This window comes from Homo sapiens, chromosome 16, assembly GCF_000001405.40.
Source record: "Homo sapiens chromosome 16, GRCh38.p14 Primary Assembly".
NCBI classification, from domain to species: Eukaryota; Metazoa; Chordata; class Mammalia; order Primates; family Hominidae; genus Homo; species Homo sapiens.
Genome location: NC_000016.10, coordinates 47342817 through 47370181, shown reverse-complemented (window position 1 = coordinate 47370181; position 27365 = coordinate 47342817). Strand labels below are relative to the sequence as shown.

The 27365-nt window shown below is 37.4% G+C and overlaps 1 protein-coding gene across 2 annotated transcripts in view, besides 1 other annotated feature; it reads left to right on the top strand.

Moving 5' to 3' along the window:
• ITFG1 (integrin alpha FG-GAP repeat containing 1) overlaps window positions 1-27365 on the top strand; it is a 306856-nt gene that overhangs the window by 91065 nt on the left and 188426 nt on the right. For both annotated transcript variants that reach the window (NM_001305002.2, NM_030790.5), the window contains exon 8: window positions 4313-4394. In NM_001305002.2, the coding sequence (NP_001291931.1) occupies window positions 4313-4394 (82 nt within the window). The remainder of the gene's footprint in view (window positions 1-4312; window positions 4395-27365) is intronic.
• Window positions 3313-4056: an enhancer, noted in NCBI's record as "OCT4-NANOG-H3K27ac hESC enhancer chr16:47400037-47400780 (GRCh37/hg19 assembly coordinates)". NCBI's record gives its function as "activates a minimal SCP1, AML or CMV promoter by ChIP-STARR-seq in naive and primed H9 embryonic stem cells {active_cell/tissue: H9 hESC(naive and primed)}" and the evidence as "EXISTENCE:reporter gene assay evidence [ECO:0000049][PMID:30033119]".

Sequence of the window (27365 nt, the reverse complement as noted above, 5' to 3'; positions counted from 1 at the left end):
GAATTTGTCTGCCTCCTGCCGCTATTAGAAGGAGGATATTGAGGCCAGGCACAGTAGCTAACGCCTGTAATCCCAGCACTTTGGAAGGCCAAGGTGGGTGGATCACGAGGTCAGGAGATTAAGACCATCCTGGTTAACACGGTGAAACCCCGTCCGTACTAAAAACACAAAAAAAGTTAGCCGGGAGTGGTGGCAGGTGTGTGTAGTCCCAGCTACTCGGGAGGCTGAAGCAGGAGAATGGCGTGAACCCGGGAAGTGGAGTTGGAGTGAGCCAAGATCGCGCCACTGCCCTCCAGCCTGCACAACACAGCAAGACTCCATCTCAAAAAAAAAAAAAAAAAAAAAAAAGAGGATATTGAATATTCTGAATAGGAAGAAATGATAAATGTTTGAGATGATCGATATGCTAAAAACCCTGATCCAATCACTATACAAGTATCACAACATCACTGTGTGCCCCATGAGTATGTATAATTATTTATCAGTTTTTAAAAAATAGTACAGTATAAAAAAAAGTAGTATTGTTTGTTTCATAACAAAATTACTCTCATACTAAAGAACATAAATATACAAATAGGTGGAGATTCCAATCCAAAAGTAAAAGAGAGAGTCAGACCATGGAGTAAATGAGTAGCAAATGGCATCCTGTGAAAAAAGTACTTGCAGATCATAAGCACAGGACTGCCATTATGACAGTACCATATAGGTGCCTGATACGTTGCATTTTGCAGAACACTGTTGCCTTTCATTCCATTTGACCTCTCCAGAACCCTGCAAGTAGACAGTATGTTTAATCCCTTCTAACAACTGAAGAACTGAAGCCTAGAACGATGAATGGCTGTCCCAAAGTGACATAACTTTTCAGTGAAAAAGGACTGGAACCCACCTCACCTTACTCCAATTCTAGTGTTCTTTGCACCAGACTGTTCTCCCAGAATATGTTCAAAATGAAAAACAGTATTGATCATGTTTCTCCTGCCTCATTAATAGCTACCGAGCAGCTTCATCTTTGAAAATGAGCGTAGTTATGCTGCACTTTAAAATGTATTATCTATTGAGATAAAATATATTGATGATGCAGTTTATTAAATCATTTCATTACATATTAAATATGTAAATAATCTGAATGGAAATGAAGTTATATATGTTTATACTGCTAAGCAAAGTAAAGAACAAGTGATGATAATAATGGAAAAGTTGTCTAATAAAGTGTTGTCTTTTCCCCCAACTCTGTCACATGTCTAATGTGTTCTGCTTACTCTCACTATGGCCAGAACGTATTCTTTTCCTCCAGCAATTGGAAGTGGGCATTGCTCTTCTATTGATGCTCAGTGTGAAAGTGGCATCTTAGAAGACATGGAAGGCTGTTACTTCAATATTTCTTGATAGAGATAAATCATGAGGTTATATCTATATATTTCTAGATATATTTACCAAAATTCATAGACCTTCAGTGGGGTAATCTGTTCACTTCAGTTAGTATATTGAGTTGATATTCAGCTTTATCTCATAGAAGGCTGATATATTTTAAGAGAGATTTTTCCATTCATTCATGAAACATTCTATCCACTCTACACAATGCTGAATGCTGTGATCTTTTTTTTTTTTTTTTTTTTTTTTTTTTTTGAGATGGAGTCTTGCTCTGTCACCCAGGCTGGAGTACAGTGACTCAGTCTTGGCTCACTTGCTTGCTCCACCTCCCAGGTTCACGTGATTCTCCTGCCTCAGCCTCCCTAGTAGCTGGGATTACAGGTGTGCACTACCAAACCCAGCTAATTTTTCTTGTATTTTTAGTAGAGATGGGGTTTCATCATGTTGGCCAGGCTGGTCTTGATCTCCTAACCTCAAGTGATCTGCCTGCCTCGGCCTTCCAAAGTGCTGGGATTGCAAGTGTGAGCCACCATGCCCGGCCAATGCTGTGATCTTTTTTTTTTTTTTTTTTTTAATTGAGACGGAGTCTCGCTCTGTCACCCAGGCTGGAGTGCAGTGGTGCAATCTCGGCTTACTGCAAGCTCCGCCTCCTGGGTTCACACCATTCTTCTGCCTCAGCCTCCTGAGTATCTGGGACTACAGGCACCCGCCAACATGCCTGGCTAATTTTTTGTATTTTTAGTAGAGACGGGGTTTCACCGTGTTAGCCAGGATGGTCTTCATCTCCTGACCTGATCCGCCCGCCTCGACCTCCCAAAGTGCTGGGATTACAGGCATGAGCCACTGCGCTGGGCCAATGCTGTGATCTTTCTAAAATGAAAAAGCACTTGACACTTCAGCTAGGGATTTGGCAACTATGACACATCTCTAGTGCAGTTTCAGGTTCTAGGTAAGACTGGAGGGAAAGCCTGAGGCTTAATACACTTACTAAATAAGATGTCTATAGAAAATCATTGAAAAATACATCAGATGCTTTAATAATGGGAGGGGAAACATGTTTCTGCACAGGGACAATGGAGTGTTAAAGTGGTTGGAACATTGCTTGTCACATGAAAAATCTTATTTCCTTACTCATGGTCCTCAAGCATTTGGGTTTTGTGCTTTTGTTATAGCATTTCTCTGTAAAGATCAGCAGTGATTTCTTAAGAAACCAACTTGCAGATTGTGATAATATGAAATACAAATTTGGCGTTAGTCCCCACTTCCTAACATAGAACTTCTGAAAGACCTAGAATCTCCAAAGGGATGTCTGTTTGTATGCTAATGAGTTGATTGGTGGATGGCAACCCCAAAATAACTTCAGAATGTGACTGGTCACCAGAATGACCAAGACATGATTAGAGGATTGGGACTTTTAGCCCTTCCCCACAGCCTCCAGGAATGGGGGAGAGTCTGAAGGTTAAAGTAATCACCAGTGGCCAGCGGTTTAACCAATCATGCCTACATAATGAAACCATCATAAAAACCTAAAAGAACTAGGTTCTGAGAGCTTCCTGATAGCTGAACAGGTGGAAGTTCCTGGAGGTTGGAGTGCCCAGAGAGGGCATGGAAGCTCTGTGACCCTTCCGTACCTCGCCCTACTCATCTCTTCATCTGTATCCTTTGTAATATCCTCTATAATAACTAAGTAAATATGTTTCCCAGAGTTCTGCGAGCCACTCCAGCTGTGAATCCAAAGAGGGGGTGGTGTGAGTCCCAACTTGAAGCTGGTCAGGCAGAAATACTGGAGGTCCAAACTTTGGACTGGTGTCTAGGGTAATTTGAGGGACTGAGCCCTCAACCTGTGGAATTAGAGGACAGCCAGGTAGTATCCACTGCAGAAATGATTGCTTGTTTATGGTGGGGAGAAGTCCCCCACATTTAGTCACAGAAGTCTTATGTCTGTTGATTCTTGTGAGAGAGCATAAGGGAGAAAACCAGTGCTCATTTTTTTACTCAGACAGATCTACAGTATCCTTAGAGGAGCAAAGAAGGAAAAACTCATTTTAAAGTATACAGATATCCTGTATACAGTATGTAGGAATCAGAGTCAGTATCTCAAACAGAAAATAGAGAGGTCAGTGATAAGAAGAACTCTGTACAAACCTGAGAGCTCAGAATTTCAAATTCATTGTTTTGATTTCTTTTTCTTGTGTAATAATCTAAAATTAAGAAGGGAAAGGCAATAATTTAAAGAAATGCATATTATTTTTGGTAATCAGATGTGTGCTGTTTTTGTTTGGAAAGAGTGAGTGAAACAAAGGATCGCTGATAAGCTCTCCTTTTCTATTTAGCTTAGGCACCTCTGCTTCTCAGTCAGCACATGGCTGCTGTTGCAATCCTTTGCTTCTCTTCTCATTGATATGTAAACTTGAGTTGATGGATTGGCCCTTTAAGGATCAATGAAATTCTCCTCTCATTTCAATATCTTTTCTTAATTGTTCCCAACAGAATCTTCTTCCCTTAAAATCTGCAAAACATGTCTTTGTACTTATACTAATTATGTGTTACCGTCAGAAATCCTATTTTTCTGACTTATATTCTATCTCCCAACTGGACTGTAAGCTCTTTGAGGATAGGAACTAGTTTTATAATTCTTTACATTTCCAAAGCCTTCCACAGTACTTGAAATTATTACTCTCTGAAATTATGGTGATGATTTGGTAAAAGATACTAGAATTGACAGCAAGGAAAGCATACCACATTCATATTTTCTTCCTCAACTCACAGGAGTTTCCTTTGCTTCAAAATAAAAGTGAAACAGGAGATTGGAATAATTTTTGTGCAATACAACAAAATACTGAAGTTATTTATTTCCCCAGTTCAGTTAGAATGCTTTGTTTTACACTTAACAAATGAGTGGATTAAGATGGTCTAATTCAAAGTTTTCTTCATTTAACAGGATGGAAACTTCTCTGTCAGTACTATATTGGAAAAACCTCAAAATATGATGGTGGTTGGACAGTCAGCATTTGCAGACTTTGGTAAGATTTGGTAAAAAAAAAAAAAAAAGGCTTTTGCCTTTCCAATTCTCTCCTTCTTTCTGTTCTATTTATATTAATTCCCCATAGCAGGAAATAACTCCAGGGTCTTCAGAGCTATTATAGCTTCAAAAGATGCCTATTCCATAATAGTATTGTATGTGACATGTCAATTCCTTAATGAAATAAGGAGAAATTTATGATGTGTTTAAAAAATAGTTTGATACTGTTTGCAGAAGTAATATGCAAAACAAGAAAACTACTGAGACTTTTTCTAGAGAATTCCAGGTATTAATTACCGTAAATTCTTCACGTATATACAACATATGGAACAAATAGAAGTGAAGGAGTTAATATGACCTCTTAAAACCAATACTAAAAGCCATTTTTATTACAACTTAATTTTAAAGCAGATTAATGTCTATTATGAATTACCCAAAAGAGGACATATGAATTTCTGTTTTCCGTAAGATTCTGCACAATCAAGTTCACATTGGTCAGGAACTTCCAAAGCATATGTGGCTCTTTTTATCATTTGTCAGAGTAATTGTATGAGATGGGAAAGTGGTCTGCCCCACCTAAAAGCTGTTCAGTGCTTGTTCCCATCCTGCTGATCCTTCATTATGCCAATAAACCACCGTAGGCTTTCCTCAAAATGTAGATGAGACATCACCATGTTCAGATACCTCAGCTTCTTCATATATAAAATGGGAATGACAGTAATATCCACCTCTAAAGGCTATTATGAATAGCACAATGTAAATGAAGCACAGTGACAGGCTTATAGCAAGAGCACAAGAAGTTAGAGTTTGAGCTGGGTACAGTGGCTCTCGCCTATAGCCCGAGCTACTTGGTAGGACTGTTTGAGCTCAGGAATTCAAGTCCATCCTGGGCAACATAGTGGAACCTCATCTCAAATTGTAGTTTGAGTCTATTCATTGGACTTACATGTTTTTTGTTCTTGTTGCCTCTGCTGCTCTGTATGCAGCTGACTAAATCAAGTCACTGTTCAGTGTCATATGGATGTATCCCAACACAGCTAAACCAGGAGGTTTGATAATGTCATATCATGGAAATTTTAACATGAATCTCTATGTTGTCCTGTATTTTAGTTATATTGAATATTATGTTAATTTTAAGTAAATTTCTGTTGCCTTTACAGTTTTTAATGCCAATAGTCAAGTGATAGAACACATGATGTTATTTTTTGGAATTTTCTGGCTAATTTGATTAGCTAGATTAATAACAGCTCTATCTGCAAGTCTCTCTTTAGGAAAAAAGTGTATATGTACTACATAATTTTCAGGGAGTACAGAGATCTCTCTGACCCCCTTAAGCCCTGGTTAAAAACTCCAAATTAAAGTTATATCTTTTATGATCGTGTGTTTTATATCATAAAATGCCTTACTTTTAACAAAATTATTAGTAGCTTTACTTTGAGGATTTTTTACAATTTTGCTAAACATAAACGTTTGCATGTTAGTGTTTTTAAGATATGCAGATTATAAGACACAGTCAAATTAAGAAACATATCTATTGCTCCATGTTTTTAATAGCTTTGGGTAGTTCATCAGTAAACTTTTTTAATAGTACACTTTTAATAAATATCACACATTGGCTTTTTAAAAGTTCATGTATTTTTAGTTGAATATTGGTAAAAAAGACTGCTGGGTCCAAAAATATGAATATTAACATATCAAAAATATGCATTTTTCCTGTGAAAAGTGTACATTTGAATATATTTGTGAATTGCATCCAGCCCTCCATCTTCCTTTCCACCTACTTCCTTTGAACCAAAACAAGGGAAGTGACTGACCGCCAGGAAGTCAGCATGATTCAAGAAATTTACCATTCAGTTGATAAAGAGTGCACATGCTTAAATAAGTGATGTAAGTGACAAGAAGTCTGTACCAAAGAGAAGTGTTTAAATGGCTCCCAGCTCACTTGTCTAAAAAAAAAGAGAAGACTAGAAAGGAACAGAGCCAAAGGGTAATAATGGTTTTGTTAAAGTAGGAAAATAGATTATCTTATTCCCTATTTTCCAAATTTTGTTATGTGGCTAGAATAATATGTTAATTTAATAGCAAAAAAGTAAATTATAGAGAAGTAGTAGTCAACAATGGCAAGAAATAAACCAAAGTATATACTTACTGCCCAGTAAAAAAAGTGTTATTTTTATCATAGAACTTTTGAGTTCATGTAAAATTGATACTATTTTCTGAGTGGCATGAACGACTCATTTAGAAAAGGTTGTGTATGGCTGGGTGTGGTGGTTTGTACCTGTAGTCTCAGCTTCTCGGGGCTGAGGCAGGAGAATTGCTTGAGCACAGGGGGTCAAGGCTGCAGTGAGCTGTGGTCAAGCCACTGCACCCTAGCCTAGGCAACACAAGTGAGACCTCATCTCTAAAAAAAATTTTTTTAAAGAATGAAAGAAGAGGTTGTGTAGTTTCACAGGGTCTTTAACACCAAATAAAATGTAAAAGTTAGACCTCTGAAAAAAATTAAACTTCTATTATGCTTTAAATATTGTGCTGAATACTATGTAAGAAAACTGATTTTAAAGGTAACATCCTTGTCTTTAGGAATTTTACAGGCCTGGTGCAATAGTTCACACCTGTAATGCCAACACTTTGGGAGGCTGAGGCGGGAGGATCACTTGAGCTCAGGAGTTTGAGACCAGCCTGGGCAACATGATGAAACCCCATCTCTACCAAAAATACAAAAAAATTAGCTGGACGTGGTGGCACAAGCCTGTGGTCCAGGCTACTCAGGAGACTGATGTGGGAGGATCACTTGAGCCTGGGAGGCAGACGTTGCAGTGAACAGTGATCGTGCCACTGCACTCCAACCTGGGTGGACAGAGTGAGACCCCCTCTCAAAAAATAAATAAATAAATAAATAAGAAAGAAAGAAATTTATAGTCCAGTTGGGAAGACAGAATATGAATATGTTAAAAAAAATACAAGAGTAAAGCAACAAGTAACTGCCACAATATAAGAGAAACCAAACTGCATTTCATTGTTGATTATGAAATTAATGCCATGGAAAAAGTGCTAATAAGTCTTGTGGAAACATAGATTATCCTAAGCTGAGAAAGGGTACAAAAGCCTCATGGAAGTGGTGAGATTTTGTACTGGACTTTGGCTAAAAATATGTGGAGACATAAAAATGGTTTGGTTAGTGACTAGTGAATAAACCACTTTGGGTTGAATCGACAGTTTCTGTAAAAATATAGAAGCATAATAAATGGCCTGGGAATCCATTGGATTACCAAATGAATAACAGATGAACAAATGTTGATTTTATTCTGTAGAAGTGATGGGAAATAGTAGAACAATTTTGAACATCTCTTTGTTAATACCTTTTTTATTAACTTCAGAAAGTAAAGTTGAACAAAATTTCTGGTCTGGTGGGATATGCATAATGTAATGCTTCTTGAGCATGCAGTAGGAGTTCAGAGGAAGATTATTAGAACCTCTGAGGTGCCTGAGATTTTGATGTTAAAAGAGAGGCAGATTTAAACAGTCTTAAAATGCAGTATTTTCTAAAGGTGGAAACCACTCAGGAGACAGGTCAGGGCATGAGGTGGTGAGAGCCGGAGCTGGACTACATCAGTATGTGGAGGGAATCAGTAAATTTGCTGATTGGTTTGACACTAGAGAGAGTAAAAAGTAAAAAATTGACTCTGAATTACCTAAAAAAGGGTGATACTATTCACAAAGATAGGTAAATCAGGAGAGGGAGCTGGATTGGGTACTGAGACGCTTTAAAGTTATCACATTAATCGTGCTGTAAAGACAACAAAGCCATCACATTTAGCAGACCTAAGATGAGGGAAAAAGCCAGGGCAGGTGTGAGAGCCCTTTAAGAGGGAAGAGGTCAAGACTGAGATGAGCCCTCCAAACAAGAAGGTGTAAAATGGAGATTGACAGAGGGCTAAGTAGGGAGAAAAATGGGTGCTAAAAGGTGGTCAGAAACCATCGGCAGATACTAAAATATAATGCAAAAGAAGACCAAGAAAAGACCTTTAGATTTTCATTTTAGCAGGGTATTAGTGGCCCAAAAGTTATCATTTGCAGAATTCTTAGAGCAGTCCCTTAGTCATAGAAATTACCCAATAAATACTTGCTGCTACTGGTAAGTGTCAGATGAGGTTCTGGGCCCTGGTCTCATATTTGGAACATCTGCAACCCATAAATGTCTCTCATACCTAAGAAATAATCAAGGAAGGTGTATCTTCTAGAAGACATGTTTTCTGTCTTGCCCTACTATATCTTCCTTTTAAACTGTATTTTAATCTTGAGTCTCTTTCTACGTAGGCTCTGAATATCAAATTCTAGAATTCCTATAAATAAGGTGTTATCTCTTATTAAATTATATAGGACAAAAAGTCAATAGAAATTAGAGAAAATGGGTATCAATTTTGTATGTAATACTAGGTGTAGTGGAAATCAATAAAAGCTATAAAACTGAAGGGAAAACAGAAACCTTATACAGAATGTCAGCATTTTTTATAGATTGAATTATTGTAAATGTCATATAAATTTATTTATAAATTATACAGATCTCATGCTAACTGCTGTGTATCACATCTTCAGAAGGAGATCACACTTTCTTCTTCAAGTAAAGGGAGAATACTGGGCATGATGAATTGGGCCTTGGAATTTTCAGTCAGATCTAAATAATCCTATAAAAAATAAAGGAACTAATGAAAATGGAAAACTGTCATTCGTGAAAGTTATAAACATACTAGAAAATCTTGAACAACTTAAAGATAGTGTCATTGATGGTTAACCCCAAATATGATTCAATGAGTACACCCAGTACCTAGCACAGTAATCAATGACATTTAGTAAAGTAAAGGAGAAAGGTAGGGACACCCCACATTAAAGTTGTTTTGTGAAGCCTTATAATATTTGGTAAAGATTCAGATGTTAATTCTAAATTAACCATCGTGGAGCTGATTTCAAAGCATTTATAGCAATTATGCTTCCTTTGTTTTATGGCTAGGTGTATTGAGTAACCATCTGACAAATTAAAATTGTTTCTTGTTCATGTTTGATCTGGAAAGTAAATCAGATGCGCCGTGTGTGGAAATGTAAATTTTATATTTAGTCTGAATGCTAATTGGTAATTGAATGTTCATATTCTCTCTCACAAAAGAATTTTAAAAATCAAATGCCTTCAAATAAACAGGTGATGATTATATTATAAAAGAAGCTAGAAAGCAGAAAGTTCTGGGTGCTATGCTTTCTGTACTTGGTCTTATTATGTAAATCATTTAAGATTGGCTTTTGGTCCACAGTCTTACATTAATGGCACTCTTGTTTGTTTGTATCTTATAGTTGAAAATTGGCTGCTGTTTCGTTAAGTAGCCCTTTTCATTGAAAAGGGACATTGAACACTAGTCAAAAAATCAATAAAACAGAGGAATGTTTGAAGTTGCAGATATTCTCTCTTAAATGTACTACTGTACCATATCACTGTCATTGCCAGTCAGAAATTATCAAGTAAATACAGAGTACATTAATATGTATAATATGGGCAAATTAGATGTAAGTGCTGCATTATAATACTTTGATATTCTTCAAATTGTATGGTACATACATAGGATTCAGTCAAATAGCTCAGTCAAATAGCATGTTTATTCTTTAAAATTGTGGAGCAATTCATTTTCCTTCCATTTAGTTGCCTTTCTGTTTTATAATGAAATATTTTTATTGTGTACAAGGCATTGGTTAATGAATTCAAAAAACGTTTTAGAGTTCCTACTATTTGGACTGGCTGTGTATTATATGCTTGGCATATAGCCAAGCCTCAAGCATACAAAAACCCTGTTCTCATGAAGTTTAAATTCTATTGAGGGAAGAAAGACAAAAACAATTAAATTAATAAGGAATTATTAGAAAGTTGTAAGAGCTCTGAGGGAATTAAACAAAGGGCTATAATAGGAAATGAGAAGGGCTATTTTAAGTAGCTCGTTGGAGGTTACATCTGATCTGAGACTTGAGTGAAGTTGTAGAAGGTTTTTGGGGAAAATGCTCCATGCAGACGGAACACATAAGTGAAGATTCTAAGGCAACAGTAAGCTTGATGTTCAAGGAACAAAAAGAAGGCTGGCACTTGGCCAGGTCTTGTAGTGCTTTGTGGACAAAGGTAACAAGGAGTTTGGATTTTATTCTAAATGTAACTGGAAACTTCAAGGGGACTAGTTAAGAGGGAAAAGCTATGGTGACTTGGACCAGGGAAACCACCAGGAAATGGATAGAAATAGTCTTATTTAGGACATATTGGAGACAAAGTTGACAAGAAATGCTGATGGATTAGATGTTGAGGGGAAGAGAAAAAGAAGACTGATTTCTAGATTTTTGGTTTGAACAACTCAGCGCCATTTGATGAGGTAGGAAAGGAGTAGGAAGAGGAACTCTGGAGTTCTGTTAATTGATAGTTCTGTTTGGGACATGTTAAGTTTGAGATGTCTGTTAGAAGACAAAATGAAATACAAATGGGAGATAAAAGCTCTGGAGAGACACAGAGTTGGATATTAGCATGTCCTTGTTTAACTGCCATTTAGAAGACAGATAATGGATAAATGAAGGAGCGCATGTCCAAAGCATCCTGCCTTTGTTTCTAACATTATAAATGCACCTGTGCTCCAGTCACATTGCCTCCTTGGTGTTCTGCAAATTGTCCCTCCTGAGGCCTTTGCCCTTGCTTATCCCTCTGCATGATATTCCTCATGACTCACCCCCATACCACCTTCTGGTTTTGCCACATCACCCTCTCCTGGAGGCCTTCCCTGACCACTCTATTTAAAACTGTAAACCCTACCCCCAGCACTTCCGCCCTGCTTTCCTGCTTTATTTTTCTCCATTGCAGACTATTGCTGACATGGTATTCATTCTACTCATGTGCCCTCACCAGAACTCCATTGGTGTATTTTGTCCACCATTATATCTCTCAAGCCTATAGCAGTGCCAGTCACATTATAAATACTAATGAATAATATTAAATGAATTATTTAATTAAATGAAAAATACTCTATTCAATTGGATATTAACTATTCAGTATTAACATTGAAAATTTCAAAATATTATAAATGGTTTTTAAGAATTAAGTTTAGGAAATATTAAGACCTTCAACTATAATCCTAAACCAGAACTTCTGAGATTCATTCATATGATAAAGATTAACATATCATTACTTTTGCTTATTTTGATTAAAGTTAAGTGATTAAAAATTGTTCTGAATCTAAAATGCATGGGTGCTGGTTTCAGTAGGAGACATCCTGGATCCTTATAAATTGTTAATTCTTAGTCTTCCTATTTACATTTTCTAATTCATGAATTCTGACCAGTAGATAACAACATACATTATCTACAGTATTTACTGTTATTTAGCATTTAAATAGACAACTGTATTTGTACAGCTTCTTAATATCCTTTTGTTTTTTCATAGTGCCAATTCTGTTTCCATGTATTCGAAGTCATCATAATCAGTTAAAACAGTTCTCCCTCTAACCTGCGGGACCTTTGTCTCCCTTAGCCTACTCTGCTCCTATCCCATCAAAAAAGGACAATGCTATTAGAAATTTTTGGTAAAACAAATATTTTATGTGCACTCATTGCCACAAAGCACCCAAAGTGGTGAGGTGTTCTTAGAGTCCTCTTCTAATATTTGCAATACTCTTTCAAACAAATAATAAACCCAGGTCATTAGTATTTCCTTTTCATTCCATGTCTGTGATGATTGCAGTGCAATAGTTACCACAGCAAAAGTGATTAGTTCCTGAGTTTCTACCTTGTAGCAAAGACTTCTCTGAGGCATCTATCTTGGTGAGTCATGGATGCCAGATGTGATTCTGATAAATATTTTGAATGCTTTTTGATTGGAAATCATAATTTATATAAAAATTATAAAATGGCTGCTTCATAGTCTTGACTTTTTACATATTCAACATCTAAAGCAGACTAGGCTATATTAGTTTCTTTTAAGGTATACAAATATGAGGAAAAACTAGGACTCTATATCCCTGGAGCCATTTTGTACAGGTTTGCATATAATAAATTCATGCCTTTCTAGGTAAGAGTGTTTTTTTCCTAAATATACCTCTGACATATTGTATTCTCAAGACTATACTGTGCATTGCATTTAATTTTTTTTTTTTTTTTTTTTTGAGACGGAGTCTTGCTCTGTCACCTAGGCTGGAGTGCGGTGGCATGATCTCAGCTCACTGAAAGCTCCGCCTCCCAGGTTCACGCCATTCTTCTGCCTCAGCCTCCCGGGTCGCTGGGACTACAGGTGCCCACCACCACGCCCGGCTAATTGTTTTGTATTTTTAGTAGAGACGGGGTTTCACCATGTTAGCCAGGTTGGTCTCGATCTCCTGACCTCACGATCCGCCCACCTCAGCCTCCCAAAGTGGTGGGATTACAGGCGGGAGCCACTGCGCCCAGCCGCATTTAATTTTTTTAATGATGAATGGTATTATGAATGTATACTCAGCCTTTTCAATATTAAATTTAGCATACTTAAAAATGCTATGGGATAATGTTGTATTTTACATTATTATATTGCTATTTTGTAATTTAATAGATGGTATGTTTAATACTTTCTAATATAACCCACAAATTAATTGGAATATTTGTCACTCTAAGCCTACCCTAGTTAATATAATTGATCTATGATAAATGGAGCACCCCATGAAACTGTTCTGTTAACTATGCATAGCTCTTTCTTTTTTTTTTTTATTGCAACAGTACTATGAAAGTGATTATTGCAGATAACTTGGCTATTGTTAGACCTTACAGATACATATAGCTAGGAAGGACCAAAAGATGGTGAGATTTATTTCTCTATGGCACATTACACCTGAGAGGAATTCCCTGCCATGAGTCAGAGTGGCATAGGAGCTCATTATGAAGAGCCTAATGCCACTCCTAGGCAGAAAATATCCTGCCCTATTTTCAAACACGTCTGACTTCCATTTCAACCCCATATTTTCCCCTCCGTAACTCCACATTTTCACTCTGTGTAAATGCCCCATTCATTGATAAGTCATAGTTGTGCTTCTTGGATGTAGGCATGTACACAGCTTTTCTGTGCTTAACCTTAACCCAATGAAGAGCTGAATAATGAATTGATGGGTTGAATGAATGGTGGGTGATGGATGGATAGTGACTGAATGGATGAAAGTGCCCTTTACTACTTATCACTTATTCACAGCAATCCATTCCCTCCGACTCTCTCACAAAGCAATCCTATTTTCCTGTTCGGTTCCCTAGTAGCAAGACAGTTCCCTTTTAGTCCTTGTTACACACAGACAAGTGGACATTCTCTGTATTTAACTTGCCCCTGCCTATCATCACATCACCCTCTGTAACTAATATATGTTGAATTTAATCAAGAGAAAGCTTTCAAATTTTTGTTAATCAGTGACGTTGAAAGGATTTACAAGTTTTGTATATTGCAAATGTCTCTTTGCTTCTTTTTCATAATGCTCAAAAATAGTTATTTTTGGCAGAAACTATTTCATAGAAAATATTTTACATTTATCTCAAGTAATCTTTCCAAACCTTTCTGAGGTGAACAATATTGTTTAGCCACATTATAGAATGTGGTAATAGGGGTTCAGAGAAGTTAAGAAACTTGACCAAGGGCACATAGCTAGGGAGGGAGTGGCAGAGCTGGGACATGATCTTTGGCTCTGTCTCACAAGCTGTATCCTTACCTTAAACACTATACACTCCTTCTTCATCTGCATTAGTTTAAATTTTAAAATATGTTATCATCTTCAGTAATGGTCACCAACAGTGACCTACTAGTATATATGCTGTTTGCTTTTAGAACCATGTGTTTTGATAGTGAATCTTCTCCATCTGCTCCCTGTGGTTTTCACATATTATTTTTAGAATTTTTATACTCTTTGACCACTCTCCCAAGTCATCCATCTCAAAAATATGATTATGTATATCTATAATTCTAGAATATATGTTTATGGATTCCAGAAAAAATAAACCCAAGCAATAGTGATTTTGATATAAAATTTATTAAAAATTGATTTCTGTTGGAATAAAACAAGCTTTCAGAATATAAATTTTTTGTAGGTTTTTGTAAATTTTTAGTTAACATGTAATACTTATACATATTTGTGGGATACAATGTGATGTTTCAATACATGTATACATTGTGTAACGTTCAAATCAGTAATTAGCAAATCTATCACCTCAAGCATCGTTTCTTTGTGGTGAGAACATTAAAAATAATCTCTTTTAGCTATTATGAAATACACAATACATCACAGCTACCTATAGTCACCCTACTGTGCAGTAGAACACCAGAAAGTATTCTGCCAGTCTTAACTGTAACTTTGTGCCCTTTGACCAAGCTCTCTCCATATCCTCTCCCCAGCCTCTGATAATCACTATTCTCTCTACTTCTATGAGATCTACTTATTTTAGATTCCACATATGAGTGAATTCATATGGTATTTATTTTCTGGGTCTGGCTTATTTCACTTGACATAATGACCTCCAGGTTCATCCATGTTGTCGTAAATGACAGGACTACATTCCTTTTCGTGTCTGAACAATATATCATTGTATATAGATACCACATTTTTTTTTATCCATTCATACATTTGATGGACTCAGGTTGTTTCCTTATCTTGGCTATTGTGAATAGTGCTGTAATAAACATAGGGATATAGATATCTCTTGAAATACTGATTTCATTTCCTTTAGCTATATACCCAGTAGTAGGATTGCTGAATCATATGATAGTTCTATTCGTAATATTTTTTTAGGAAACTCCATACTGTTTTACATAATGGCTGTACTAATTTACATTCCCACCAACAATATGTCAGGGTTCCCTGTTCTCCACTTCTTCACCAACACTTGCTATCGTTTTTCATAATAGCCACTCTAACTAGAGTGAGGTGATAGATATCTCGTTGTGATTTTGATTTGCATTTTCTGATGATTCATGATGTTGAGCATTTTTTCATATACTTATTGGCCATTTCTGTGTTGTCTTTTGAGAAATGTCCATTCAGGTCTTTTGCCCATTTTTAATCACAATTTTTTTTGGTATTGAATTCTTTGGGTTCCTTATTAATTCTTATATTAACACTGTCAGATGTATAGATTGCAAATACCTTTTCCATTTTTTAGGTTGTCTCATCACTCTTACTTGTTTCCTTTGATGTGCAGAAGCTTTTTAGTTAGCTGTAATCTCATTTGCCTACTTTTGCTTTTGTTGCCTGTGCTTTTGAGGTCTTATCTAAAAAAATCCTTGACAAGACCAATGTCATGAAGTATTTCCCCATGTATTTTTTTAGTAGTTTCAGAGTTCTAAGTCTTACCTTTAAGGCTTTAACCTATTTTGAATTGATTTTTTTAATATGATGAGAAATGGGGGTTGACTTTCATTCTTCTGCATGTAGAAATCCAATTTTCCCAACACCATTTATTGAAGAGACTGTCCTTTCCCCAGTGTGTGTTCTTGGTACCTTTGTCAAAGATCAGCTGGCTGTAGATGCATGGATTTATATCTGTATTCATATTCTGTTCTATTGGTCTATGTTTCTGTTTTTATGACAGTATCATGCTGTATTGATTACCATAGCTTTGTAGTATGTTTTAAAGTAAGGTATTATGGTGCCCCCCAGCTTTGTTCTTTTTGCTTAAGATTACTTTGGCTATTCAAAGTCTGTTGTGGTTCCACACAAACGTTAGGATTTTTTTCCCTACTATTGTCAAGAATGTCATTGGTATTTTGATAGGGATTGCAGTGAATCTGTAGATTGCTTTGGGTAGTGTGGTCATTTTAACCATATTCCTTTGGTTATATTTATGAATTCTTGCGATTCATGAACACAGGGTATCTTTTCATTATTTGTATCTGATTCAATTTCTTTCATCAATTTTCTAGTTTTGTTATAAAGATCTTTCATCTCCTTAGGCTTAATCTCAGTATCTTATTTTTTTTGTAAATATTGTAAGTGGGATTTTTTTCTTGATTTCTTTTTCAGATAGTTTATTATTATGTATAGAAATGCTACTGATTTTTGCATGTTGATTTGTATCCTGCACCTTTACTGAATTCATTTATTAATTCTAAAAGGGTTTTTTTTGATGGAGTCTAGGGTTATATAAGATAATGTCATCTGCAAACAAGAACAGTTTGACTGCCTCCTTTCCAATTTGAATATCTTTTAATATCTTTCACATAATTGCTCTGGCTAAGATTTCCAATTTTTTTTTAATACAAGTGGTGAAACTGGGCATCCTTGTCTTCTTCCATATCTTAGGGGAAAAGCTTTCTTTCAACTTTTTCCTTTTCAATTGATGTTAGCTGTAGGTTTGTCATATATGGTTTTTATTGTGTTGAGGTACATACCTGCTATACCTAATCTGTTGAGAGGTTTTTATCACAAAGGGATACTGAATTCTGTCAAATGCTTTTTCTTCATCTATTATTGTCAATCTCATTTATTGATTTGTGTATATTGAACCATTTTTATGCCTCTGGGATGAATCCCACTTGATCGTGGTGATTCTTTTTTTTAATTTTTTTTAATTATACTTTAAGTTCTAGGGTACATGTGCACAATGTGCAGGTTTGTTACATATGTCTACATGTGCCATCTTGGTGTGCTGCACCCATTAACTCATCATTTAGCATTAGGTATATCTACTAATGCTATCCCTCCCCCCTCACCCTACCCCACAACAGGCCCCGGTGTGTGATATTCCCCTTCCTGTGTCCAACTGTTCTCATTGTTCAATTCCCACCTATGAGTGAGAACATGTGGTGTTTGGTTTTTTGTCCTTGGCGATAGTTTGCTGAGAATCATGGTTTCCAGCTTCATCCATGTCGCTACAAAGGAGATGAACTCATCATTTTTTATGGCTGCATAGTATTCCATGGTGTATATGTGCCACATTTTCGTAATCCAGTCTGTCATTGTTGGACATTTGGGTTGGTTCCAAGTCTTTGCTATTGTGAATAGTGTCGCAATAAACATATGTGTGCATGTGTCTTTATAGCAGCATGATTTATATTCCTTTGGGTATATACCCAGTAATGGGACGGCTGGGTCAAATGGTATTTCTAGTTCTAGATCCCTGAGGAATCGCCACACTGACTCCCACAATGGTTGAACTAGTTTACGGTCCCACCAACAGTATAAAAGTGTTCCTCTTTCTCCACATCCTCTCCAGCACCTGTTGTTTCCTGACTTTTTAATGATCGCCATTCTAACTGGTATAGATGGTATCTCAATGTGGTTTTGATTTGCATTTCTCTGATGGCCAGTGATGATGAGCATTTTTTCATGTGTTTTTTGGCTGCATAAATGTCTTCTTTTGAGAAGTGTCTGTTCATATCCTTCGCCCACTTTTTGATGGGGTTGTTTGTTTTTTCCTTGTAAATTTGTTTGAGTTCATTGTAGATTTGGGATATTACCCCTTTGTCAGATGAGTAGATTGCAAAACTTTTCTCCCATTCTGTAGGTTGCCTGTTCACTCTGATGGTGGTTTCTTTTGCTGTGCAGAAGCTCTTTAGTTTAATTACATCCCATTTGTCAATTTTGGCTTTTGTTGCCATTGCTTTTGGTATTTGGGACATGAAGTCCTTCCCCATGCCAATGTCCCGAATGGTATTGTCTAGGTTTTTTCTAGGGTTTTTATGATTTTAGGTCTAACATTTAAGTCTTTAGTCCATCTTGAATTAATTTTTGTATAAGGTGTAAGGAAGGGATCCAGTTTCAGCTTTCTACATATGGCTAGCCAGTTTTCCCAGCATCATTTGTTAAATACGGAATCCTTTCCCCATTTCTTTTTTGTCAGGTTTATCAAATATCAGATAGTTGTAGATGTGTGGTATTATTTCTGAGGGGTCTGTTCTGTTCCATTGGTCTCTATCTCTGTTTGGTACCAGTACATGGCTGTTGTGGTTACTGTAGCCTTGTAGTATAGTTTGAAGTCAGGTAGCGTGATGCCTCCACCTTTCTTCTTTTGGCTTAGGATTGACTTGGCAATGCGGGCTCTTTTTTGGTTCCGTATGAACTTTAAAGTAGCTTTTTCCAATTCTCTGAAGAAAGTCACTGGTAGCTTGATGCGGATGGCACTGAATCTATAAATTGCCCGGGGCAGAATGGCAATGTTCACGATATTGATTCTTCCTATCCATGAGCATGGAATGTTCTTCCATTTGTTTGTGTCCTCTTTTATTTCATTGAGCAGTGGTTTGTAGTTCTCCTTGAAGAGGTCCTTCACATCCCTTGTAAGTTGGATTCCTAGGTATTTTATTCTCTTTGAAGCCATTGTGAATGGGAGTTCACTCATGATTTGACTCTCTGTTTGTCTGTTTTTGGTGTATAAGAATGCTTGTGATTTTTGCACATTGATTTTCTATCCTGAGACTTTGCTGAAGTTGCTTATCAGCTTAAGGAGATTTTAGGCTGAGACGATGGGGTTTTCTAGATGTACAATCATGTCATCTGCAAACAGGGACAATTCGACTTCCTCTTTTCCTAATTGAATACCCTTTATTTCCTTCTCCTGCCTAATTGCCCTGGCCAGAACTTCCAACACTATGTTGAATATTAGTGGTGAGAGAGGGCATCCCTGTCTTGTGCCAGTTTTCAAAGGGAATGCTTCCAGTTTTTGTCCATTCAGTATGATATTGGCTGTGGTTTTGTCATAAATAGCTCTTATTATTTTGAGATACATCCCATCAATACCTAGTTTATTGAGAGTTTTTAGCATGAAGCGCTGTTGAATTTTGTCAAAGGCCTTTTCTGCATCTATTGAAATGACGTGGTTTTGTCTTTGGTTCTGTTTATATGCTGGGTTATGTTTATTGATTTGCATATGTTGAACCAGCCTTCCATCCCAGGGATGAAGCCCACTTGATCATGGTGGATAAGCTTTTTGATGTACTGCTGGATTCGGTTTGTCAGTATTTTATTGAGGATTTTTGCATCGATGCTCATCAGGGATATTGGTCTAAAATTATCTTTTTTTGTTGTGGCTCTGCCCGGCTTTGGTGTCAGGATGATGCTGGCCTCATAAAATGAGTTAGGGAGGATTCCCTCTTTTTCTATTGATTGGAATAGTTTCAGAAGGAATGGTACCAGCTCCTCCTTGTACCTCAGGTAGAATTCGGCTGTGAATCCATCTGGTCCTGGACTGTTTTTGGTTGGTAAGCTATTAATTATTGCCTCAATTTCAGAGCCTGTTATTGGTCTATTCAGAGAATCAACTTCTTCCTGGTTTAGTCTTGGGAGGACGTATGTGTCAAGGAATTTATCCATTTCTACTAGAGTTTCTAGTTTATTTGTGTAGAGGTGTTTATAGTATTCTCTGATGGTAGTTTGTATTTCTGTGGGATCGGTGGTGATATCCCCTTTATCATTTTTTATTGCGTCTATTTGATTCTTCTCTCTTTTCTTCTTTATTAGTCTTGCTAGTGGTCTATCAATTTTGTTGATCTTTTCAAAAAACTAGCTCCTGGATTCATTGATTGTTTTGAAGGGTTTTTTTGTCTCTATCTTCTTCAGTTCTGGTCTGATCTTAGTTATTTCTTGCCTTCTGCTAGCTTTTGAATGTGTTTGCTTTGCTTCTCTAGTTCTTTTAATTGTGATATTAGGGTGTCAATTTTAGATCTTTCCTTCTTTCTCTTGTGGGCATTTAGTGCTATAAATTTCCCTCTACACACTGCTTTGAATGTGTCCCAGAGATTCTGGTATGTTGTGTCTTTGTTCTCATTGGTTTCAAAGAACATCTTTATTTCTGCCTTCATTTCGTTATTTACCTACCTAGTAGTCATTCAGGAGCAGGTTGTTCAGTTTCCATGTAGTTGACCAGTTTTGAGTGAGTTTCTTAATCCTGAGTTCTAGTTTGATTGCACTGTGGTCTGAGAGACAGTTTGTTATAATTTCTGTTCTTCTACATTTGCTGAGGAGTGCTTTACTTCCAACTATGTGGTCAGTTTTGGAATAGGTGTGGTGTGGTGCTGAGAAGAATGTATATTCTGTTGATTTGGGGTAGAGAGTTCTGTAGATGTCTGTTAGGTCTGCTTGGTCCAGAGCTGAATTCAATTCCTGGATATCCTTGTTAACTTTCTCTCTCATTGATCTGTTTAACATTGACAGTTGGGTGTTAAAGTCTCCCATTATTATTGTGTGGGAGTCTAAGTCTCTGTGTAGGTCTCTAAGGACTTGCTGTATGAATCTGGGTGCTCCTGTATTGGGTGCATATATATTTAGGATAGTTAGCTCTTCTTGTTGAAGTGATCCCTTTACCATTATGTAATGGTGTTCTTTGTCTCTTTTGATCTTTGTTGGTTTAAAGTCTGTTTTATCAGAGACTAGGATTGCAACCCCTGCCTTTTTTTGTTTTCCATTTGCTTGGTAGATCTTCCTCCATCCCTTTATTTTGAGCCTATGTGTGTCTCTGCACATGAGATGGGTTTCCTGAATACAGCACACTGATGGGTCTGACTCTTTATCCAATTTGCCAGTCCGTGCCTTTTAATTGGAGCATTTAGCCCATTTACATGTAATGTTAATATTGTTATGTGTGAATTTGATCATGTCATTATGATGTTAGCTGGTAACTTTGCTCATTAGTTGATGCAGTTTCTTCCTAGCATCAGTGGTCTTTACAATTTGGCATGTTTTTGCAGTGGCTGGTACCGGTTGTTCCTTTCCATGTTTAGTGCTTCCTTCAGGAGCTCTTTTAGGGCAGGCCTGGTGGTGACAAAATCTCTCAGCATTTGCTTGTCTGTAAAGTATTTTATTTCTCCTTCACTTGTGAAGCTTAGTTTGGCTGGATATGAAATTCTGGGTTAAAAATTCTTTTCTTTAAGAATGTTGAATATTGGCCCCCACTCTCTTCTGGCTTGTAGAGTTTCTGCTGAGAGATCCGCTGTTAGTCTGATGGGCTTCCCTTTGTGGGTAACCCGACCTTTCTCTCTGGCTGTCCTGAACATTTTTTCCTTCATTTCAACTTTGGTGAATCTAACAATTATGTGTCTTGGAGTTGCTGTTCTCAAGGAGTATCTTTGTGGTGTTCTCTGTATTTCCTGAATTTGAATGTTGGCCTGCCTTGCTAGGTTGGGGAAGTTCTCCTGGATAATATCCTGTAGAGTGTTTTCCAACCTGGTTCCATTCTCCCTATCACTTTCAGGTACACCATTCAGACGTAGATTTGGTCTTTTCACATAGTCCCATATTTCTTGGAGGCTTTATTCATTTCTTTTTATTCTTTTTTCTCTAAACGTCTCTTCTCACTTCATTTTGCTCATTTGATCTTCCATCACTGATACCCTTTCTTCCAGTTAATGGAATCAGCTATTGAAGCTTATGCATTTGTCACGTAGTTCTTGTGCATGGTTTTCAGCTCCATCAGGTCCTTTAAGGACTTCTCTGCATTGGTTATTCTAGTTAGCCATTTGTCTAATCTTTTTTCAAGGTTTTTAACTTCTTTGCGTTGGGATCAAACTTCCTCCTTTAGCTCGGAGAAGTTTGATCATCTGAATCCTTCTTCTCTTAACTCGTCAAAGTTATTCTCCGTCCAGCTTTGTTCCGTTGCTGGTGAGGAGTTGCGTTCCTTTGGAGGAGGAGAGGTGCTCTGATTTTTAGAATTTTCAGTTTTTCTGTTCTGTTTTTTCCCCATCTTTGTGGTTTTATCTACCTTTTGTCTTTGATGATGGTGACGTACGGATGGGGTTTTGGTGTGGATGTCCTTTCTGTTTGTTAGTTTTCCCTTTAACATTCTGGACCCTCAGCTGCAGGTCTGTTGGAGTTTGTTGGAGGTCCACTCCAGACCCTATTTGCCTGGGTATCAGCAGTGGAGGCTGCAGAACAGTGAATGTTGCTGAACAGCGAATATTGCTGATCAGCAAATGTTGCTGTCTGATCGTTCCTCTGGAAGTTCCGTCTCAGAGGGGTACCCGGCCATGTGAGGTGTCAGTCTGCCCCTACTTGGGGGTGCCTCCCAGATAGGCTACTTGGGGGTCAGAGACCCACTTGAGGAGGCAGTCTGTCCGTTCTCAGATCTCAGACTCTGTGCTGGGAGAACCACTACTCTCTTCAAAGCTGTCAGACAGGAACAGTTAAGTCTGCAGAGGTTTCTGCTGCCCTTTGTTCGGCTATGCCCTGCCCCCAGAGGTGGAGTCTACAGAGGCAGGCAGGCCTCCTTGAGCTGTGGTGGGCTCCACCCATTTCGGGCTTCCCAGCTGCTTTGTTTACCTACTCAATCCTCAGCAATGGTGGGCGCCCCTCCCGCAGCCCTGCTGCTGCCTTGCAGTTCGATCTCAGACTGCTGCGCTAGCAATGAGCAAGGCCCCATGCGCGTGAGACCCTCCCAGCCATGCACAGGATATAATCTCCTGGTGTGCCATTTGCTAAGACCATTGGAAAAGCGCGGTATTAGGGTGGGAGTGACCCGATTTTCCAGGTGCCATCTGTCACAGCTTTGCTTGGCTATGAAAGGGAATTCCCTTACCCCTTGCACTTCCTGGGTGGGGCGATGCCTCGCCCTGCTTCGGCTCACGCTCAGTGCGCTGCACCCACTGTCTTGCACCCACTGTCCGACAAGCCCCAGTGAGATGAACCCGGTACCTGAGTTGGAAATGCAGAAATCACCCGTCTTCTGTGTTGCTCACGCTGGGAGCTGTAGACTGCAGCTGTTCCTATTCGGCCATCTTGGAACCGCCCCAATCGTGGTGAATCTTTAATGTGTTGTTGAATTTGGTTTGCCAGTGTTTTGTTGAGGCATTTTTGATCTATGTTTATCAGGGACATTGGCCTGTAGTTTTGTTGTTGTTGTGTCCTGGGCTGGTTTTGATATCAGAGTAATTTTGTTCTTGTAGAATAAGTTTGTAAGAATTCCCTCCTCTCCAGTTTTCTGGAATACTCTGAGAATTGGTATTAGTTCTTCTTTACATGGTTTGGTAGAATTCAGCAGTGAAGCCATCAAGTCCTGGGCTTTTCTTTGATATGAGACTTTATTACTGATTCAATCTCATTGCTCATTGGCCTGTTTAAATTTTCTATATTTCGTCATGATTCAATCTTGGTAGGTTGTGTATATCCAGGAATTTATCAGTGTCTTCTAGATTTTCCAGTTTGTTGGCATATAGTTGTTCATAATAATCTCTTATGTTCCTTTGTATTTCAGTACTATCAGTTATAATGCCTGCTTCTTCTCTGATTTTAAGTATTCTCTTTGTTTCTTAGTCTAGCTAACAGTTTGTAGATTTTGCTCATCTTTTCAGAAAGCTAACTCTTCCCTTTATTGATCTTTTGTCTTTTCTGAGATATGTGTTTATTGCTGTAGTCATCCCTCTGACTACTGCTTCTGCTGTAACCCATGTGTTTTGATATGTTGTATTTCATTTTCATTTGTCTCTAGAAATGTTTTAACTACTTCATTGACCATTGGTTCTTCAGGAGCATGTTGTTTAATTCCCATGTATTTATATAGTTTTCCAAGTTCCTCCTGTATCAATGAGTATTTTTATACAGTTGTGGTTGGAAACAATACCTGATACAATTTCAGTTTTTTAAAATTTATTAAGACTTGTTTTGCAGCCTACCATATGGAGGAGGGAATTCTTCCAAACTCATTCTGTAAGACCAGAATTACTCTGATATCGAAACCAACTGGACACATCTTGGAGAATGTTCCATGTGTACCAGCAAAGTATGTGTATTTTGCTGCCATTGGATGGAAAGTTCTGTATATATCTGTTAGGTCTGTTTTGTTCTAAGTGAAGTTCAATTCTGGTAGTTCCTTATTAATGTTGAAAGTGGGATACTGAAGTCTCCTAGTAGTATTGTATTACTATTTACTTCTCTATTCGTGCCCATTAATATTTGCTCTATATATTTAGGTGCTCCGATGTTGGGTGCATATATGGTCATTTTCTACATTGTGCCATTTTGGTCAACCACGGACCGCATATACAATGGTAGTCCCATGAAATTATAGTACCATTTCTTTGCTGTACCTTTTCTATGTTTACATATCTTTAGACACACAAATACTCATCATTATGTTACAAATTGCCTACAGCAACCTTGTCCAACCTGCAGCCCGTGGGCTGCATGTGGCCCAGGACAGCTTTAAATACAGCTCAGCACAAATTTGTAAACTTTCTTAAAATATGAGTTTTTTGGCTGGGCACAGTGGCTGATGCCTGTAATTCCAGCACTTTTGGAGGCCAAGGTGGGCGGATCTCTTGAGGTCAGGAGTTCAAGACCAGCCTGGCCAACATGGTGAAACCCCATCTCTACAAAAAATACAAAATAGCCAGGCGTGGTGGCACGCATCTGTAATCCCAGCTACTCAGGAGGCTGAGGCAGGAGAGTTGCTTGAACCCAGGAGGCAGAGGTTGCAGTGAGCCGAGATAGTGCCACTGCACTCCAGCCTGGGCGACAGAGTGAGACTCTGTCTAAAAAAAACAAACAAACAAAAAAAAAAAGAGTTTTTTTGCAATTTTTTTTCTTTTTTAGCTCATCAGCTATCATTAGTGTTAGTGTATTTCATGTGTAGCTCAAGACCATTTTTCTTCTTCCATTGTGGCCCAGGAAGCCAAAAGATTGGACACCTCTGAGTTAGATGACTTGCCAGTTCCTTTTTTGTCCTGCCTTACCTACTGTTTTAACCCTTGCTAAACACTATAGTAATTATTTGTTTACTTCTTTTTTCCCCCACTTTCCTGGGAGTTCCTTGAAGACAGAGACCATAACTTTTCATATTTCTATTTCCAGTGTTTAGAATAGTGGCTGGCTAAATGTCCATCAACAGATGAATGGATAAGAAAATGTGGTACTTATACACAGTAGAGTACTATTCAGTCATAAAAAAGAATGAGATCCTGTCATTTGCAACAGCATGGATAGCACTGGAAGTCATTATGTCAAGTGAAATAAGCCAGGCACAGAAAGACAACATCCCATGTTCTCACTTACATGTGGGATCTAAAACTGAAAACAATTGAAATGGACATAGACAGTAGGAGGATGGTTATCAGAGGCTGAGAAGGGTAATGAGGTGTGTGGGGAAGGTGGGGATGGTTAATGCCTGTACCAAATATCTCAGATAACCCATTAATATATATGCCTACTATGTACCCACAAACATTAAAACTTAAATAAACTAAAAATAGATTGGTGGATGACACATAGTAACCCTTAATAAATGTTGACCAAATAATTCCTTTGGAAAAAACTCTTGCTAAATAAATTATTTTAAGTTTTTAACAGTTTTATTGTAGTAAAATTTACATATCATAAAAGTCTTCCATTTTAAGTGTAGAGTTCAGTGAGTTTTAATAAACTATGAGACAGTTGTATAAGCATAACAACAATCTCAGTTTTGGAATACTTCCATTAACCCAGAAAGTTCCCTTCTGCCCACATATAGTCAGTCTCCACTCCTACCACAGTCCCAGATGACTACTAATCTACTTTTTTAAAAATTTGGTTAAAATATGTACAACATAAAATTTGCCATTTTAACCATTTTTAAATGTATTAATTCAGTGGCATTAATTACATTCACACTGTTGTGCATCATTAACCACTATGTATTTTCAGAACTTTTTCTATGCCTCTAAGTAGAAACTCAATAACCGTTAAGCAATAATTCCTCATTCTGATAACCTCTAATCTATTTTCTGTCTCAATGAATTTGCCTATTCTAGATATTTCATATAAGTGGAATCCTACAATATTTGCCCTTTTGTGTCTGACTTATTTCACCTAGCATAATGTTTTTGCGGTTCATCCGTGTTCTGTCTGGTATCAGAACTTCATTTCCATTTTGATTATCTGTTTCTGTTGATGAACTCACGAGTTGTTTTTACCTTTAACCTATTGTGAATAATGCTGTAGTCTATGTGAATCCCTGCTTTCACTTATTTTTAGTAGGAGGGAAATTGCTGGGATATAAGGTCATTATATGTTTACCTTTCTGAGGAACTAAAAACTATTTCTATAATGTAAACATTTTACGTTCCTACCAGCAGTGCGGAAGGGTTCCAGTTTCTCCACATCATCACTAACGTGTTTTCTTTTTAAAAAAATTATTAGAGCCTTCCTAGTAGATGTGAAGTGGTTTTTCGTTGTGGCTTTCATTTGTGTTTCTCTAATGACTGATGTTGATCTTCTGTTTATGTTCTTATTGGCCATTTTTATATCTTCTTTGGATAATTGTTAATTCAAGTTCTTTACCTATTTTTTAACTGGGTGGTTTGTCTTTTTATTATTGAATTTTTCAAGTAATTTATATATTCTACATATTAAATCCTTTATGTGCATATTTAAACATATCTATGTAAACAGATGTGATGGGAAAATATTTTCTCCCATTCTGTGAGTTGTCTTTTCACTAAGGGTTTTATGATTTTAGCACTTAAATGGAGATTATTAGAATCTAGTTTAAGGTAGTTTTTGTACATGGTATGAGTACAAAAAGATGCTGGGTCCTTTTTCATGTGGAAATCCAGTTCTAACATCTGTTGAGGAGACTATTCTTTCTCCAGTAAGTGGACTGGGTACCCTTGTCAGGTGGCCATACGTCTATGTGTTTATTTCTAGACTGTAAATTATATTCCATTGGTCTATGTCTGTTCTTATGCCAATACTATATTGTTTTAATTACTGTAGTTTTTAGTAAGTTTTAAAGTTCAGAAGTGTGAGTCTTCCAACTGTATTCTTCTACTTCAGAATTGTTTTCATTATTCATGGCTCCTGCAATTCCACATGAATTTGAGAATCTTCTTTTCCATTTCTGCTAAAAAGGCTGTTGAAATTTTGAGTGTGATTGCATTGAAAGTGATGGCTTTGAGTAGTATTGACAAATTAACAATATTTAGTTAGTTCCAACCTCTGAATACAGACTTTCCATTTATTTAGGTCTTTAATTTGAATTTTCAGGAATGTTATATAGTTTA